Here is an 18103-nt window from a genome sequence, read left to right as displayed (position 1 = left end):
ACAGCTCCATCCACACCACCATTTATGCTTAATCCTCACAGCAAACCTGGAGGGTTGTATCCCCATTTTCAGCAGAGGCAACTGAGGCTCAGTGAAGTCAACAGACTTGCCCAAGGTTCCAAGCTAGTTATGTTTTGGATTCTGTGCCATTTAGCACCAAAAACGTGTGCTTTCCACCCACTCTACATTGCCTCTCTGTCTAAAGATGGGCATCCCACTTGTTCCTACTTCTGACAGTCAGCTTCAGGAATATCTTTCTTATTCAAACCAAAGAAAATGCAAGGGCAAAAGAGGTAAAGGAGAAAGATATTTCTGTCTTAGTGAGCTGCTCTGGTGAAACTCTTCCACTATGTTTTACTATTCTCACTGTCTCAGCTAAGATCCCACCTCTCCTCAGTGGCTATTAAAAAAAACTCGGGCCCAAGGTGGAGAAAAAGAAGCTGAGGAGGGAATTCAGCAGCTCTAAAGGCACCTCAGTTGGATTCTTAAAGGCATGGAAAACTTGAAGAAGATTTGGGGGACATAATATCATTAAGGAATGAGATGGCTGGCCCTAAAGGAAAGGTTATGAAGAAATGCAGTCAATTGCAGCAGGAGGAACTCATATGAAAATCTAGGAAGGATACTAGAGCTGGTGGCTTTGAGAGCCACTGTTCTCAAAGAGGGTGCCTAATTTCCTTCCCTGGAGAAGTAGAGACAGGAAGACTCTAAGACAACAGTGATTACTAGATGAAACTCTAAATGGTGGCAGATGACTGTCTCATCTTATCATGGGACACCCTCTTTCATCATGGAGGCAGGGATCCCTGGAGAGTATTGGTTATTCGCCCTGATCTTCAGAGTGGGGTCTGACCTAATGCCTGATCAAACTCAGAGTCCATACGCTAAAGCTCATATCTGTGTGGATTCAGGAAGAGCTTCCCTCGCCAGCTCATTTGACTTCTTGCCCAGGGACAGTCAGTCCTCTCCTGCTCTCGTAAGCTGTGGCTCAGAGTGGGTCCATGGGTTTCTGGGGAAATATGGTCAGCTAGCAGACAACAGGAGATGACAATGCCTCAACCATGTTGGCCTTAAAGGTCCAACGATAAATGCCTCTTGATCATCTCTTTTGAGGAAACATCAAGACTCCTGACAACCTTAGTTGCCCCCCTCTGTCAAGTGCTATGTGTTAGCAGGACAAGAAAGTTCAATGAATCAGACGTATCTGAGGACCTCTACCAAAAACAGCTTTTAGGGGCATCTGTATCCCTCATCCAGACCACTTTGCTGCTTTCGATTCTCAGAACTGAGAACCAGAGACTCATGGGGCCAGATTCTTGGCATCTCATTCACCTCTCTTGCTCTAGGAATGGCTGACCAAACAACCCCAGAAGATAGGAAAAACTCTTTGTCTAGTAATATTTGATACCTTTCAGTACCAGGAAATTTCTCCTGTAAGTTTAACCCAAACCTCATATGCAGTAGTTGGAGCTTTTCTTCTTATGCAGTTCTCAGCACAGCTGAGGATTTGAACAGCTTTTGTTTCTCTGGTCTGCCCTACAATTTCTCCCTCTATGGTACTTTCTTCCTATAATTGCACCTGCTTTTTGCCCCTTGGCTTCTCTTTAAGTTCTGTCTGTCCTTCTTAATTTCAGAAGCATAGAAGAACTATCCAGGATACAGTCAACACTAAACCATTCCCTTTAAAACCAGTAATGGGTAACACTTGTTAAGTATCGAGAATGTGCCCAACACATACTAGGAACCATAAGCACATTCTCCTGTTTAATCTTCACAACAATCCTATGAGACAGGTAATACATCCATTTGGCAAATGAGAACATTAAAGTTCTGAGACACTAAATGACTTACTCAGCATCACTCAATGGTATGTCCCGGACCCTGGATTTAATTCAAGGCAGTCTACCTCAGAGCACACACTCTTAACCACTTGGTCTCCTCACCTGGCTGAATCCTAAGCGGCAAGTTACAATCTCAGACCAGATTCTCCTGCCACTCAGCAGGTCAGGGGGCACCTAGCAGTGTTCAGAGGATACCAATCCACTCTAGAAATCACTAAAACAAAATAGAAGTATGGGGTGGCCCTCCTGCTACAAAAGAGACGTGCCATATTTCAGAGCCAAACAGACAGATGCCCTGGGCACTTTTCATCAAGTCTCTCTGTCCAGATGCCTGCACTCCAGAAAGAAGTCATCCTCCTTCCTTCCATTTCCCTTTGATTTCTTGCTAGAAGCATCAGCCTAGTTGTCTTTTGTTCAAAATGTGTCTCCCTTTGACTTTATATCCTTTCCAGCAGCTTCATACTTGGGTCAGCTCCGTCCTACCCTGGATTGAGGACAAGGGGTCAATCTCCAGGTAAACTCTTGTAAGCTTTGCTTGTTTCATAGTCCTGGATGGATCTCATAAGTCCCACTCATTCTCTTGCAATAATAGTTTGATCAATGGTCACAAACTGGTTTAAGTGACTGGAATCACTCAAACTTATTCCATTGATAAAACAACTCTATGTGTACGTTCCCCTGTATGGCTTATCTTACATAAAGTGAGGAACTTAGACCAGATGGTCTCTAAGGGAACTTCTGGCTCTGATGCACTCAGGCTTACAGAATACTTCCTATAACAGATTACCTGGAATCCGATTTAGAACAAGGCCCATTCCATACCAGGGCTCTGGGGCTCTTAACACAATAGTAGTTGGCCCCATTATCTTGAAAACAAACAATGCTTAGAATCCAACAAAGGTCCCCTGATTCCTTGGGTAGTGAATCTCTTTGGCAGGATCTCAGTGTGGTTCTAGCTGCTTGGTGCCAAGTTAGAGCCTTTGCCTCTCTCCCTGGCTCGCGCTCCCTCATCCCATCCCCTTCTCCAGTCACTCATCATCCTTTGTATTAGCACATCACAGTGCAGACACTTCCTATCTGTTTCAGCCCACAGTGAGGTCCCTTGAGGACCTGCAGCCTCAGCTTCTGAGGCATAACTAATGATGGGGGCCAGCTGCCTCACCAGAGCCAGCAAATGATGGTGCCTCTGGCTGCTCAGGGAAAATAAGACATTCTTGAGCCATGGTGAGGGGTAACTCAGGTGTGGAAATAGCCAATTACCCTATTAATCAGACTGAGCAACCAGCTGTGTCATGAGTTAAAACCATGCCTCATTGTAATTGTTCCATGTCTCGCAAGTGTGGACTGGTGGGCATTTGATTTGCATATACTACCAAAGGAGGAGAGAGGCCTAGGTGAGAGGGTACGGTGGATGGTTTCACCTCATTTATACTCATCTTGAAAGAGAACTCAGAGCTGGACTCTTACTCCTATTGCCCAGATGGATTTTAAAGAGACACGGGACCTCACTGTGAAATGGTACTCCCGGTAACTAAGGTGAGATTACAAAGCAGGCAATTCCTATCTAGAGTTAACTGAACATACTAACAAGCTTTCTGTGTTCTTTCAACTACCAATAGGAACCAGACTTCCTGTTTTCTCTTCACTATGGAACTCACCTATTTTAAGATAGTCTCCCTTCATCCATTCTTGATTCCTAAGCTTCTACTTTTTCAGTAAAAGTTCCTGCTTTTCAAGAAGTTCTTTTGAAGTCCTACCCTGGTTTGAACAACTTGTTGAGAATTCAGCAACTTGAGGCATGCCTGTTAGAGGAGACCACACCACCAGGTGAGCCACCTCAAACCCCCACACTGCCTCCTGGCAGGCAGCCTTCTGGAGGTGTCACCTTGGCACCCTGGCTGGGCCAGCTGCCACCCAGCAGGAGTTAATGACGTGGTATCAGTCAAGTTAGGCAAACTGGGGTTAGCACAGGCAAGGTTACTCCCAAGGTTACCGCTGCGACTCACCACTGTACATGTCAGGGTGGTTTCTTAAGGACGAGTCATTATAAGGGTGGTCTGTAACAAACAAAAGAGGGTGAGCAAACAGGAGGCCACGGAGAAGTCACAGAGGCATAAACGGGGAGAGAAAACAAATGCAAAGCCAGAAAAACAACTGAGGAGGGCAGCAGTGGTCTTTTGCAAAGGAAAGACACGGCATATTTGGAAAGGCAATACGCTCAGTGAAGAACAAGCAACACAAAACAGCCCACAAAAGGAGAAAAAAAGGTTAAATCCTGCAAAAGAAGGCAATAATACAGTAATGGTTTTTTTAAAATTAAAGAAATTAGGTTTGAACTTTAATTAATTGGTCCTGCTATATTTTCAAACAAATGAGAGAAGGATTAGTGGTGTCCTGTAGCCATCTTTTGAACAACTCCTTCTTATCAAAATCCTCAGTTCCCAGGACTCTGGGTCAGGCTAGCTCTTGGAGCAGCTAAAGAGAAAGGAGTGTTAGTGAGCTCCGGGGAAGAGCAAAGTGCTGCCTGGGCAGAAGCTAAGCTGCAGGAGGTTGGTGGTAAATGGGAGGAGGTCATTGACCAAAAGAGTTGGGCCAAGGGGCCCTGGCCACACCCAGCAACATGTGTCACTGGAGTCTGCCCAGGTGGGCACCACTATGATCTTGGAGATGTCTCTGTTGGCAGAAAGCCCTCCTTGTGAGGATGCCGGGAGAGGTTCAGTGAGGTGGGGAGAACATCCCTGAGGTTCAGGCTTTAGAATTTAGAATTGGAGCTTGGGACAGGAGAAAGTGCAAGCTGTGAGTTCTACATTTCAGACTAGGAAAGTCCTCCTGAACGTTCTGGAGGTTCGAAGCTCTCTAGACTATGCAGGATTGAAGACATTCCTTATGGAGCAAGATCAGTGGCTTCAGTTCCAATGTTAGGTAATTCAAACTCGTGGGCATTTACTCCTTAATGAGAAAGACATTTCAGAAGAGGACACATCATCACGCCAGCGTCCTGAAGGAGCTTTTCCCTCTCTACCTCTGGTCCCTTCCAGCAACTGGGTTCAAATTGTGACAGTACTAAAAGGGGGTGGGGTATACAGCTGACTGGAAGCCAAGCAGATGGCCCTGAGGAGGCAAGAACATGGTCCAACTGCTCGAGGGACAACAGGGGCTCTGCCAAAACATTTGCATATTTGTCGACAGATCCAATCCCATTACAACTAGTTGCAAGAAGTATGAGAGTCCTTTTCTGGGACTGGCATTGCATTGCATCCCAAATCTGCTTGCCACCTGGTAGGAAGATTTTCATTATTCAGAACTCTCTCTTAAGATGGGGTTTGTTGTAAAGACCCAGCCTGTTTGGGAAGTCTGCTTGGGTCCATCTGGAGCTAAAGGCAGGAATAAATCCACAATGTAACGAAGAGATGGGGTGGCCCAAGGGCAGGTGGGGGCTGCAGCTGGGCTTGGGAGGCAACTCTGTTCCTCTCCTGGGGGTGGATGGTGGCACATACAGATGACAGGGCCCTTCCTTCATGCTCCCATATCACCAGGTGAAATGTAACCTATCTCTCTCCAGAGAAGTAGCCCACGCCCAGAACTGACCTCGTGGTTTGTGAATTCTGGAGCACATGTGAGAAATTCACGGAAACTTCTTTGACTGCTCCAAGAATGTCACTTAGACACTGGAGGAAGAAGGGGTGTGCCCTGGTGTCTGCCTTAGGGAGGACCCTCCTCGCTTACCACAGTTGCCTCTTATTGCATCAGGAGGCACCCAGCACCTGTTACAGCATAGGCAGAGTGGGACGGGCCCAGCTCTGTAGCCCAACTCCACTGCTTATCTTTGACTGCATCCCAGGTTTTAAAAATGATTTCAGATTACCCAGTATTTTGCATTACATACCATTGTCAACTTCCTTCAATGCAGGTAATAAAAATGGGACATGATGAGATTTATTTCTTCCCAAATGGGCAAACTGTGACAGGAGTGCCTGGTGAGAATAGGGCCTTTGAAGCTGCCCCTGCCTGACTGCTTTGCCTCCCACCCCAGACCTGGTTCTGAAGGTACAAGAGAAAGCCTGTGTCCTCTCCAGACAGGAAAGTAGAGAGAGCACCACTGTGCTATTTTAAGCAAGTGTGCCCAATTCTGGGCTGGCTCAGATGCCCAGAACTTGCTCCCAGCCAGAGCTGCCCCTGGGAGAACTCCAGGAAGCTGATGGGGCTCTGTTCCAATCACCTAGGGGGTCTCTCGCCATTCGGAGGAAAGAGTTTTCAGTGGAATAGAGGACCTAGAAATGAAGAATTAACAAACATCCCTTACTTCTTCTGGTAGAGAAGAGTGTTTCTGGAAAGTCCAAGTTCTACATGTTGTTTAAATCTCTAACTGCAGAGGAAGTTAGTTAATTCTACAGAGGAAGACTCTTCACCACCTCAGTCTCTTGGCCTCTGCTCTACTCTGTGTGACAGTGATGGGCTCTGCCCAGGATGACAGAAGGTCAACTGACTCAGTTCCAAAAGCAGCAGGCCGATTTCTAGCGTCGTCTGGGCAAGGAGAGAGGGGCCCTGGTGGTGATGCTGATGGCTGTCCAGGCTCAGCTCAGCGAGCATGTTATCTTGTTCTTGACATCCCTGCTCCTCCCCCTGCCAATGCTGTTAGTCCTGTCCTGGCTGCTGAGGCCACTCCGAGGTCCTGGGCAGACTACACTGTCCTTCCCAGCCCAGCCAGCTGGCAGGCAGTCACCCTGATGTGGACTGAGGAGACACTGCAGACAAACCAACTTTCTCCTCCAAGGGGTCTCCCTGGGCTTGGGTCAGGAATGAGAAAGTCAGGGACGGGGGAGCAACTGGAGTGAAGCCAGGTCACCCTGCCAGGAACTCGAGGGGCTTGCTGCAGGTGTCAGGCAACCTGCCGGCTACCACCTTTGGCAGCCCAGCACCAACACAGATCAGTGTGTGGGGACACTGCAAGGCAGGAGGCGATGATTAGAGGAGGGCAGAATGGAGTTCCAAGACAGAACAGAGAGATGGAAAAGAAGAAAGAAAAAGAAAGAGGGAGGAGAAATAAAGAAGGAAGTGAAAAAGAAAAAGGAAGAAAATGAAAAGGTGAAAGAAAAAAAAAAACATGAGAAGGGGAAGAGAAAAGGAAGCTGCTTCCTTTTGGATCCACCTCTGTGCCATGGTGGAAATGGAGCATGGGGCTGTGTTGGCTCTCAGGACCACCAGCCTCTGCCATCAGCAGGGATAGGGAGGAAGGAAGAGAACGATAATGGTCACACCCCCTACCTGTCCTGAATGAGAAGTGATCTCACCTGAACCTCTCCTGACCCACACCCACCCGGGGAGCCATTGTTCACCACCTCTGCAGGGGCTCCAGGAAGCCAGGGTCAGCCTATTTTTTCTGACCTTTGCAAACTGCCAGCACCCACATGGTGCTCTCTACTGGCCTCCCCAACAATCCTCACTGTCCAGAGCATCAGAAACAACACTCACAGCATGAGTCAGACTAAGGTCTGTTTTTTGGGGGGCTCCTTTATGGAAGGCGTGTTACAAATCCATGGTGTACATCAACATAGACAACTTCCAACGTCCTGAGTGGGCTGAGACTTTGCAGCAAAAGCTCTAGGCTGCCTCGTCCTTGCCAAGAAGAACATTTCTGACTAAGCTTCTCTCTCTCCTCAAGGGAGAGCCACCAACACTATAATGGGTCGGGAAATGCTGATTTGCTTTTGTACCAGCCAAACAGAATCAGGGAATAGAAACGAAAACAAATAAAACTCAAACATAAGCCTGCAACTTACAAACATAGCGATTCCATATGGTTCAGCATATACATATTACAGAATCAAATAAAATTTATTTTGGTGTCTCCACTAATTTTCATATTTTCTGCTATGGGTTTCTTATACAAATAAAGATAACCAAGCAATGAGAAGAAATAAAAGAAATAATCAAGCTGTGTCCGGAGAGGGGTTCTAGATGACCACTGGAAGCAGTGGTTCTCAAACTCTGGGGTGCACTTGAATTACCTGGAGGGCTCATAAAGAACAAAGAGGCTCAGGGCTGTTGAGGTACGATAGGCTGGTTCTGGGTACGCTGCCAGGTTCTAAGGTGATTCTGATTCCCACCAGAATTTGAGGAGGATTGACTTAGAGTAGGACCAAGTTTAACTCAAGGTTTCACAATCAAGAGAGATCGTTTAAGAGCAGCTGAAGTGGCTCAGGCACCATGAGCTGGAAGGATTTCTAGGTCAGCCTCAAGGACAAGTCTCCCCCTATAGACTCAGGTACCTAGGGCTGGGTGGGATCAGTGGGCTTCTTTCTTTGGCCCCCAGCCCCGGGACAGGGGCCTTCACTTACTGGTGAGGACCTTGAGGGTGAAAGGGTTCTTCTGCTGGATGGTGTGGGTGAAGTGGAAGCGGGCGTTACAACTGTAGTCGGTCTGCATGTCCTGCAGCATCACGTTGGAGAAGTATAGGTCTCCGTTATGGCCCTGAGAGACACGTTTGTCTTGGGTGATGGGCTCCATGGCTATAAGAAAGCAGAGGTACGGCAGCAGGTTAGTAGTAATAACAGTAATCATCACCACCGCAGTCCTGGCGACAGAACACTTTACAGAGGGTCAGGTGGCGACCAGGAGCTTGACATTACTTGGTCTAATCCTCTCAACTCTGAAGTATGGCTTATTCCCATTTTACAGATCAGAAAGCAGAGGATGTAATGTGTCCAGCATTGCAAAGGCAGAGAGGAGAGCAGGATTTTAGATGCAGACCTGCCTGCCCACCATGTCCATGTTCTATGACCACACTTTTCTCTTTCCTGTTCACGCCACAAAAGATCTCACCGGCTGTGGGACCAGCAGAAGGAACACAAACCTTCAGGTACTCCCCAAGGTTCAAATTCTCAAGCTAGCAGCGACAGCACTCAGAGGCCAGGGACCATGATCTGTTCATCTTATGCCCCAGCACCTGTCTTAGGACTCGGCATATAGGAGTCACTCAACAGTTTGCTGAATTAAATGAAATTGAACTTGGCTTTGCTGCATTTAACAAAAATGTAATCATCAATTATAATGTATACCTTTGTTTTTTATTCCTAAGAAGAAAGCACTACTGATTATAACTGTAAGATATATACCAATCAATGATGTACATCATCAGTTTTAAGAGATGTTAAATCTGATTTCAATTTTAGAGATGTTAAAATATGAAAATGTCTGATTAATGATATAACTGGAGTGGCTGAAAATGTTGACTATATTTTCTTTTCTTTTTTTTTTCAAGTGCTATATCTGATGTAAACCCAAAAGACCAGGTTTCCAGGCTGTTAGGTTAGTTAGAATATACCTAAAGCTGACTACTCACAGCTGTCTCCTTCCTATCCCCACAATTGTTTTTTAAGTCACCATTTCTTAAAGCACAAGGTTAATGATGCCAACTTCCCCATAATGGGCTGGTCAGCTCTTCAAACCATTCCTGATTTACTGTAGGCCTACTATGTGCCAGGCACTGTGCTAGGTGCTGGTGAAAGGTTGGGCAAGACTGTTACTGCCCTCAAATAACTTCCAGTTTAGTAGAAGAGGCAGCAGATAAATAAACAATTGCAATGCAGCGTGGCGAGCAGAACACACCAGTTAGAAGGGGATTAACTGCAAAAAAGAACCCAGTGCATTCTAGGGGGTCCTAAGCTGAGCCTTGAAGCCTGCATATCTTATACCAGGAGAAAAGACAGGGGAGCTGAGGTTTCTAAGGAGCTGGAAGAGTGTGTGATAAAGGCTAAGAGTACATAGTCCACTCAGTGGTGTAAGGGGATGAGGGGAGACAAGGGCTGGAGAGGCAGAGGGCCAGATCTGGAATGGGACTGGGTGCCAGGGAAAGGGATCTGGACCATTATTTTGAGGTGATGGAGGAGCCAGTGAAGGGCTTTAAGCAGATGAATGAAACTATCAATTAAGTATCACATTTTTAGAAAGACCAGGGAGGCCTGTTATGGATAATTCTTGTAACCCAGGGAAAAACTGATGGTGGCCGGGGCTGGGGAGATGTCAGTGAGGACAGAAAGAAGACAAGGGTCTAAGATCTACTTGGGAGGCAGAGTGAACACAACTTGATGGTGAATGTGATGTGGGAGAGATGAGAGAGGAGAAGTTGAACTGTGAATTAACAAGTGAGGCCAGCAGCCTGTGGCCAGGCAGCCTTCCCCATAAATGTGCACTGTGATGGGGGAAGAGAGAGACAGTGATTGAGCACAAAGCCATCCTCAACCTGCAAAATAACTTACAATGCTGCCTCATCAACAGGGCAGCCTCTTTTCAAAGTAGGCTGCTAAGAATTCAGGGATGGATAGAAGGATGGATGACTGGCAGGTACGTAGGTGGAGATATAGGTTGATGGATGGCTGGATAGATGGGAAAGGAGGGATGGAAGGAGGGGGAGAGGAGGCAGACAGGTAGGCGGGAAGGGAGGGAGGACAGGAAGCCAGAAGGACACACAGAGAGATAGCAGTTTTCGATTTACCTCTATTAATGCTTCTGCTTTTATTTAAATTGAAAACATGGGAAGAAACTGAGGTCCGGAGAGGATGAATGAGGCTCAGTTCAAAATTGAGCCAGAACAATCGCTGAATGATGCTACTCTGTCCCTGCTGCAGATACCCTATCTCCCCATCACTCCTTTATGAAAGGTTGCAATTCCCCATTCACCCTTCCTCCTACCAGAAGAGCGAATCAGAATAAATCCAGACCGGCCAATAATTGAAAGAGGTGGTTTGGTATCAACCACTTTCAATTGGCCAATTGGAAAAACCATTTCTCCTCTTCTCCCCTAATCCCTTCTGTCTTGCTCTTCATTTTCATTATCATGTTTCCAAGTGCTTACTGTGTGTCTGGCCCTGTTCTAAGCACTTTGGACGTATTGACTCATTTATTCTTATAATAATCCTATTAGATAAGTACTATGATTAGCTCTGTTTTTTTCCAGAAGAGGAAACTGAGGCCCAGAGATGTAAGCAATTTGCTCAAGATCACACTTGCTCAAGATCACACAGCAGCCAGGCTAGAAAATAAGCCCAAGCAGCCTCTCTCTGCAGAGCCTGTGTTCTCAGCCTGGTTGCCACATTGCACCTGCCTCTCACAAATCAAGGCCTTCTAGCTTGGGCAAGCCCCTCCCCACTTAACACACCCACCCCACCCCCTAAGGTTAAGATATAAACACAACACCAGGCCCCCAAGACTCACAGCTGCTCATCCAGAAGATGACCGGGGATGGAAGTCCAGGCGGGGGGTTGCACTGGAGCGTCAAAGGAGCGCCCTCTTGGACCACGACAGGGTCTAGGTTTTCCTTGGGCCACAGAGGAGATTCTGGAGAGAAGTGGACAAAGAGGATAAAGTGAGGGTGATGGCTGGGCCCGGGGCAAGGAGCAGGGTCAGAGGCAGGCATGCAAGGAGGAGAAACAGAAGGGGCACCTGGAGAAGGAGGGAGCAAGAGAGAGGGACGGGGCACGTGAGCCTACTCAAGGGGCCGCCCTTGAGAGGCAGGAGAAGGGAGGCATCTTCAAGGCTCCCCTCCTTTCCCGTCTCCTGTGCCCGCAGTGGCCAGTGAAATTGTTGCAGACAACAACTTCAAAAGGAAGCTTTGGGAGCTTCCTTTCCAGGGAATCATTCTGAGGTGGGGAAGATGCATAGAGAACACCAAGGCAACTGCAGGCCAAGGGCAGGGGCAGCCCTTCTGGAATGGCCTTCCACACCCCCCACTCTCCATTTACCCAGGAGCAGGGCATTTCAGCCCTGCCCCACGCTACTCACTAGACACCTGCAGGCGGATCCTATTGGACAGGGCCGTGCCAAATTTGTTGCGGGCGAAGCACTGATATTCCCCCTCATATTCCTCCGGCCGCCCGCCACTGCGGAAGTCAATCACCAGGGTCCCAGACCTCCTCCTCATGGACACCCGGGGGTCCTTGGCGATGTTGAAGAATCTGCTGTTTCGTGTCCAGTGGAAGCTGTGGAGAGTGGGGAGCAGTGGCAACCAAGACGAATGGGGTGGGCTCTGGGCTCCAGGCAGATCTCAGATCCCTAGTCCCTGGCTCAGTACCAAAATTCCCTCTCTCAGTCCCATCGTGGCACCCCATACCAACAGGTCTCAGCCTGGCTGAGCAGAAGAACCATCTGGAGAGCTCAATAAAATGCAAAGTCCCAGGTCCCACCCAAGTGACTGTCCAGGGCAGGGGCCTGACGTTAGTATTTCTACCCACCTAAGACTGGGACTCGTGGCTCTAAGTGTTAGATACTGAAGTAGCTACTCGGGGGTTATGTTAAACACGTTATTGAGGAGAGATTTTCATTTCTAGAATCTAGAATCTGTGGCTTCTTCCACCCCAGGACATTTCCAACCTTCTACTAGGAATGCAAACTTGAATTCATATTCCACCCAACCTAAATACTTCAGGGAGTTGGCTCTGCTCCTCCTGCCACCTTAATTTTACAATCCATTTTAAAGCCAAAGTGAAACGGCTTAGGTTACTTGTGCCCTGCTCAGTGAGTACAGATTATATAGCAGTGACCACACCCTGTAGCCCAAGAGTGGCAGCTTTTGGCCGGGCGCGGTGGCTCACGCCTGTAATCCCAGTACTTTGGGAGGCTGAGGTGGGTGGATCACGAGGTCAGGAGATCGAGACCATCCTGGCTAACTCGGTGAAACCCCGTCCTACTAAAAATACAAAAAATTAGCCGGGTGTGGTGGCGGGTGCCTGTAGTCCCAGCTACTTGGGAGGGCTGAGGCAGGAGAATGGCATGAACCCGGGAAGTGGAGCTTGCAGTGAGCCAAGATCGCACCACTGCACTCCAGTCTGGGGGATAGAGCGAGACTCCGTCTCAATTAGAAAAAACAAACAAACAAACAAAAAAACAGTGGCAGCTTTTAAAGAAATGGCAGCCTAGTAGAACTGAGCCACTGGTGAAGAGCACTAGAATGGCCCCCTCTGCTCCTCCTGGGAGCTGCAGCCAAGGCCTCACATCCTCAGATGCCCACAATCTAACTTGTAAAAGAAGCAGGGAAAGCAGGAGCAGCTGGAACAGCAGGGGCTGCTCAGTGCCACAGGATTATTGTCTCTGCAAAGGAACCATGGGGGAAAGACCAAACCTCAGAAGCAAGTGAGGTTACCATTACCCTGACTAACCCTTCAGGGTGACTCCCACGGCCAGCGAGAGAGTCCCTGCTGGTTCCCAGGCTCAGAGCTCTGGGTTTGAGACTGTCTTGTGTGAACCCAGGAGGCCAGAATAAAGCTGCTGCATACCTGGCTGCCTCTGCTTGGCCTCATTTCTCCTGCTGACAGACACACCCTAGATGTGGTCCTGTCACATACGGGTCTGAATCTTGCATGAGGCTCCTGAAAGGCTCAGTCTGTAGATGCTACTTTGAGGATGGGGATGGGGGCAGATAATAACGTCTGTCATGTCTCCGATGCTTATCATTTGGTAGAAATGCATGAGTTTAAATCTGGGTTCTGCCCCTTTCAAGCTGGGTAACCTTGGACCTTTGTACCCCTTTTCCCCTCCTCTTCATAAGGACATCGGTCCTTCCCCAGAGCACTGTTAGGTGGTCGAACAAAACGTGAGTAACAGAACCTAACACAGAGCCCGGACACACACACAACAGGCTTTTAATTCATGTCTGTTGACATCTTACTTGGTCTTAATGAGCACATAAACAGGTAGAGGCAAGCTCAGAATGAAAGACTCAAGTTGGCTTGGAAAAGGAACTTCCTATAAGCTAAACGTGGGGCAGATGATGGGAACACAGCGTGGAGGAAAGAATGTTATACGGAAAGTCAGAAAACTGAACATCCAGTCCTGGCTTTTGGTGTGAACTTAAGCCACTTGTTTTCTGGTCTCCAGTTTGCTTACCGGCAAAATTTCCTGGTACCTCAATTATGCCTTCCACCTAGTAGGTGCCTAATGGAAATTTTTTGGAATGGATGAGTCCAATTTTCCTGCTGCCTCATTTGCCTTAGTTATCATCAGGCCCAGAGGCAAGCGGGTGGTTTCAATGCACTCTTTTTCCCCTTCACTCACCTGGGGGCAGGGTTCCCTTTTGCTTCACACTCAATCAGGATGTTATCACGGGGGTCCACGATGTGATCCTTCGCTGACTGCTTGGTGATGGTTGGCGGCTGCGTCACTGCAACAGTGCACAGGGAGCATGGTCAGGGCTGCAGGGACCTCCCTGGGGTCCAGCTTGGGGAACAGCTGAGATGAAGAGCTTCAGAAGCCACACATGCAAGCAGGCAAGTGGGTGGGGTGTGGGGGGCGGTGAACAGGGCCCCATTCTAGAGACCCAGCTCCTTAAATGGTGCCGCAGGAAAGAAGGTGGGTGTCAAAGATTAAGCATAAGAAGAATCCCTTTAAAAAGATCCCATAGGCAGCCAGGCGTGGTGGCTCACGCTTGTAATCCTAGCACTTTGGGAGGCAGAAGCAGGCCGATCACGAGGTCAGGAGATCGAGACCATCCTGGCTAACACGGTGAAACCCCGTCTCTACTAAAAAATACAAAAAATTAGCCGGGCGTGGTGGAGGGTGCCTGTAGTCCCAGCTACTCGGGAGGCTGAGGCAGGAGAATGACAAGAACCCAGGAAGCGGAGCTTGCAGTGAGCCGAGATCGCACCACCGCACTCCAGCCTGGGCGACAGAGCGATATTCTGTTTTAAAAAAAAAAAAAAAATCCCATAGGCCAGGCATGGTGGCTCACACCTGTAATCCCAGCACTTTGAGAGGCTGAGGCGGATGGATTTTCTGAGGTCAGGAGTTCAAGACCAGCCTGGCCAACATGGTAAAACCCCATCTCTACTAAAAGTAAAAAAAAAAAAAAAAAAAAAATTAGCCGGGCATGGTGGTGAGCACCTATAACCCCAGCTACTCGGGAGGCTGAGGCAGGAGAATCACTTGAATCCAGGAGGCTGAGGCTGCAGTGAACCCAGATTGTGCTGCTGTACTCCAGCCTGGGCGATAGAGCGAGACTCCATAAAAAAAAAAAAAAAAAAATCCCATAGCATCCCGAGGAGAAACTGAAGGCCAGACTTTTAGTTTACTCATCCTTACCTTACAATGCCTAGCACAACATACAGTGCACAATAGTTTTTGATAAATGTCTGTTGAATGAATAAAGGAAGAAAAAGCAGCTAGATTTTCAGAACTTAGGGGTCATGGTGGTTCTGAGCCCTGGAGGCTCAACAAACGGCCAAACTATGGTGAGGCTAGAGCAGAGAGGGCCTTCAGTCCCCAAGAACTTCCCAGATCCTCCCCTTCTAGGTCCCAAGTGCCAGTGTGCTACCCTGGGGTCCTGTGCCAGCCACTGGAGGATGGGGAAACAGCTGTGGTGCACATGAGCTTCGATCCAATGACCCTCTTCTTACCACGTGCCCTTCTGTCTTTCCCAGCAAGAGAATGCTGCAGGCAAGCCTCCTTCCTTCCCCCGCAGTAAGATACCTCACTACAGGGCTCTGGTATGAAGAGGCCCCAGCAGAAGTCCCAGCAGGCCACTAATCCCCAGGTATCACCTCATGCCTCATTCCTCCCTCCCAACTCCCAGAGGCACAGAGAGGCACACAGGGCACTTACGCTCATTCTGAATGCTTGCTGTTAGTTCCGACGGGTTAGCATTGGAGAGGGAGAAAAGAAGAACATCGTTATGCACACAACCGCCCAGGCATCCTCACGCCCCAGCACACAGGGAGTGGGCGGGGTGTGCCTGGGGAGGGCGCTGAGCACAGGGCTCTCTCCTCCTGGCTGCAAAGCCCAGTGCAAGAACCAAGCAGGGTTGGGGAACGGACCCAGTGAGTGCCTTATGGAGAAGGTGACGCCTCCCCTGGGTGACCAAAACCACAGAGTTGGGCAGAAAGACTGGCTCTGATCAAAGGACAGTGTCACCAGGAAGTCCACATGTCCCCAAGTGACAATGCTGCTTGAAAGAGGCCCTGAAGGTATTTCCCTCCATCTGATGCCACTGAGGGAAGTGGGCTCCTCAGCCAACAGTGAACAGGAGAGGCTGAGGGCAAGACAGGTGCCAGGAAGGGAGTGGATTGGAAACACTGCTGCAGAGCAAAGCTCCAAGGCCTCATTTCTCCCACGACACCTTCTCTCCTTGGCATCTCCTCCTTTCCCATCCTATGGAAGACTCTAGAGGCAAATGCCCCTTTCATGGTACATTGCTTCTATTCATGGTACATTGCCTTATAGAAATCATGCTTCTCAATGGGAGGCTCCAGAGATGAAGCAGAGGCTACAGCTCCTTTCTGTGCTTTTCACAAAGAAGGTAAGGAGGCAGGTGGCACAAATCTCCCCCAGCTCCTACCTGAAGTGTGCATGTGCTTGTATAGGTGTGCTCCTGTGCAGGTGGATGTATGTATCTGAGGTCTGGGCTTCTCAAATTTTAACATGCATCACCTGGGGGCTGGTTAAAATGCAGGTTCTGATTCAGTTGGGCTGGGGTGGGGCCTGGGACTCTGCCTTTCTGACAAGTGCTGGGGCAATGCCATGCTGGTGGTGTGTGAACCACACTCTGCATAGGAAGGTTTTAGATGGTGTGCTTTTTGTGGGGACAAGGTCTTGGTTAAAATGTGCAGAAAAGGGAACATGTGTTGCTGTGACTTTCAAATGTTTTTTCCTGATGAATATATCAGAAAGTAACATGGCATTCTCATTTCATGCAGGTGCAGACTACTGTACTGTTGTTGCAGGCTGACTTTTTCAGAGTGAGGGCTCCTTGTGGGGAGCTGCGAGCTGCCAGCATCAGGGCAAAGCCATGGTGACTTTGAAGCCTTCCTACTTGACTTGAGTGAGATGTGGCGAGGATTCTGGGGGCTTAGAGAGGGCAGCCTGGAGAAGCCAGAGTTAAGCTCAGAACAAGAGGTGCAGGAAGAGCCACAGCAGGGAAGGGAAGAGAGATCCCAGAGGAGGGGCAGAGTGTGGCAGGACAAGGGCCCTGCCGTACATGCTATGCATGAAGGAAAATCTTGAGACTAAGACTCATGAAAAGATCCAAAATAATTATTTCGTGTGGCCCCTAGAAGACTGAAGAGACATTTGCTTCGCCATTTGCCCAGGGCTGCCTGGGCAGGAGACAAAGGAATGAAAAGTCCAGGGGGAAAGCAAAAATCTATGGCTTCTGAACACATGCTCCCCGGAGCTCGTCTCCACAGCATCTTCACCCATATGTGATATTCTTGCCAGGGCCCCAAGAAAGGTAACTCCAGTTGGCTTGGGTGGGGAGAAGGGGCCATTCTTAGGAGAGGTGGGGCTGTCACTGGGACCCGCTCCCCTTGGCCCTTAGCCCAGGCCCTTAGCTTCTTCATTCAGGACATTTTTGGGGTCTCACCCTGGTTAGCAAGCCTGACAAGGGACCTCCTTTGCCTATTCAAGACTTCAAGCCTCTCTTTTATAGAATCGAAGGCTGACTCAATGGAAAGAGCCCTAGACATTGTCCAGGGAATCTCCAGATCCAAGGAAGAAGTCTCTCGGCCAAGATCATACAGGAAGTTTGCTGCAGAGCTAGAAGGAGAACCAGCTCTCCCAGTGCCTGGTCCAGAGTTTTTTGTTTTGTTTTGTTTTGTTTTTAACAAATCCATCCTTGGCCAGAGAGGTGAGCGAGCCAGCTGGGGCCTCAGGACTCTGCTCTCCTTGACATTCTGGAGAAGGGTGAGTGAGAGGGGAGACTGTGGGTGCTGGAGACTCTCAGGGCAGCAAGAGTTGGTTGGATGCTGTCCCCAGCCCCCATACTATCAGGCCAAGGACCTCTGGAGAATCTACTTGACTATAGGGATGGCGTCTGCAGCCACCACTGTGCTACTAAGGAATTTCTTACAGGGACAGAACCAACCCAGAAGACAAGCTGCCACAGGGAGAAGACAGTGGGGACAGCTTGTACGGATGAGGGTGACCAAGCTCCCACCCAGTGTCACACCACTCGCCTTCTATGGAGCAGTGGAAAGTGAATTCCATAGCTCTTCCAGCCCAGCTCTGCAGGGAGTTAGGCAGATGCCTGCTCGGTCTGCGAGGTTTCTTTACTCGTGTGCCTCTTTTCTTTCCCTGGCTCTGATACCTATGACCTCTGGCACCCATCCCTCAGGAGATGGAGCACGTGAGTGCGTGTGATTGAGGTGTGTGAGTGGGAGTGAGTGTGCATAAGTGTGAGCACATATGGGTATGTGAGGGCACGTGTGAGTGTGCATGAGTGTGAGCATGTGAGGATATGTGAGGGTGTGAGTGTGAGTGGGTGTGAGTGTGCATGAGTG

At 48.9% G+C, this 18103-nt stretch overlaps 1 protein-coding gene across 56 annotated transcripts in view; it reads right to left on the bottom strand.

Moving 5' to 3' along the window:
* The window catches only part of NFASC (neurofascin), a 194171-nt gene that overhangs the window by 56817 nt on the left and 119251 nt on the right, over positions 1-18103 (bottom strand). For 17 of the 56 annotated variants that reach the window (NR_165492.1, NM_001378329.1, NM_001005388.3 and 14 more), the window contains 5 exons: positions 15432-15449; positions 13890-13995; positions 11622-11818; positions 11055-11177; positions 8180-8350 (listed from right to left, as the gene is read on the bottom strand). Coding sequence is in view for 55 of the 56 variants with exons in the window: in NM_001378329.1 (NP_001365258.1) it covers positions 8180-8350; positions 11055-11177; positions 11622-11818; positions 13890-13995; positions 15432-15449 (615 nt within the window). In the remaining variant the exon portion in view is untranslated. Of the gene's footprint in view, positions 1-3847; positions 3899-8179; positions 8351-11054; positions 11178-11621; positions 11819-13889; positions 13996-15431; positions 15450-18103 lie in introns of all 56 variants that reach the window. The other 39 variants (XM_011509316.2, XM_047449948.1, XM_047449947.1 and 36 more) reach the window with 3 other exon arrangements.

This window comes from Homo sapiens, chromosome 1 (assembly GCF_000001405.40).
Source record: "Homo sapiens chromosome 1, GRCh38.p14 Primary Assembly".
Classification (NCBI taxonomy): domain Eukaryota; kingdom Metazoa; phylum Chordata; class Mammalia; order Primates; family Hominidae; genus Homo; species Homo sapiens.
This window is presented reverse-complemented; position numbering and strand designations above follow the sequence as displayed.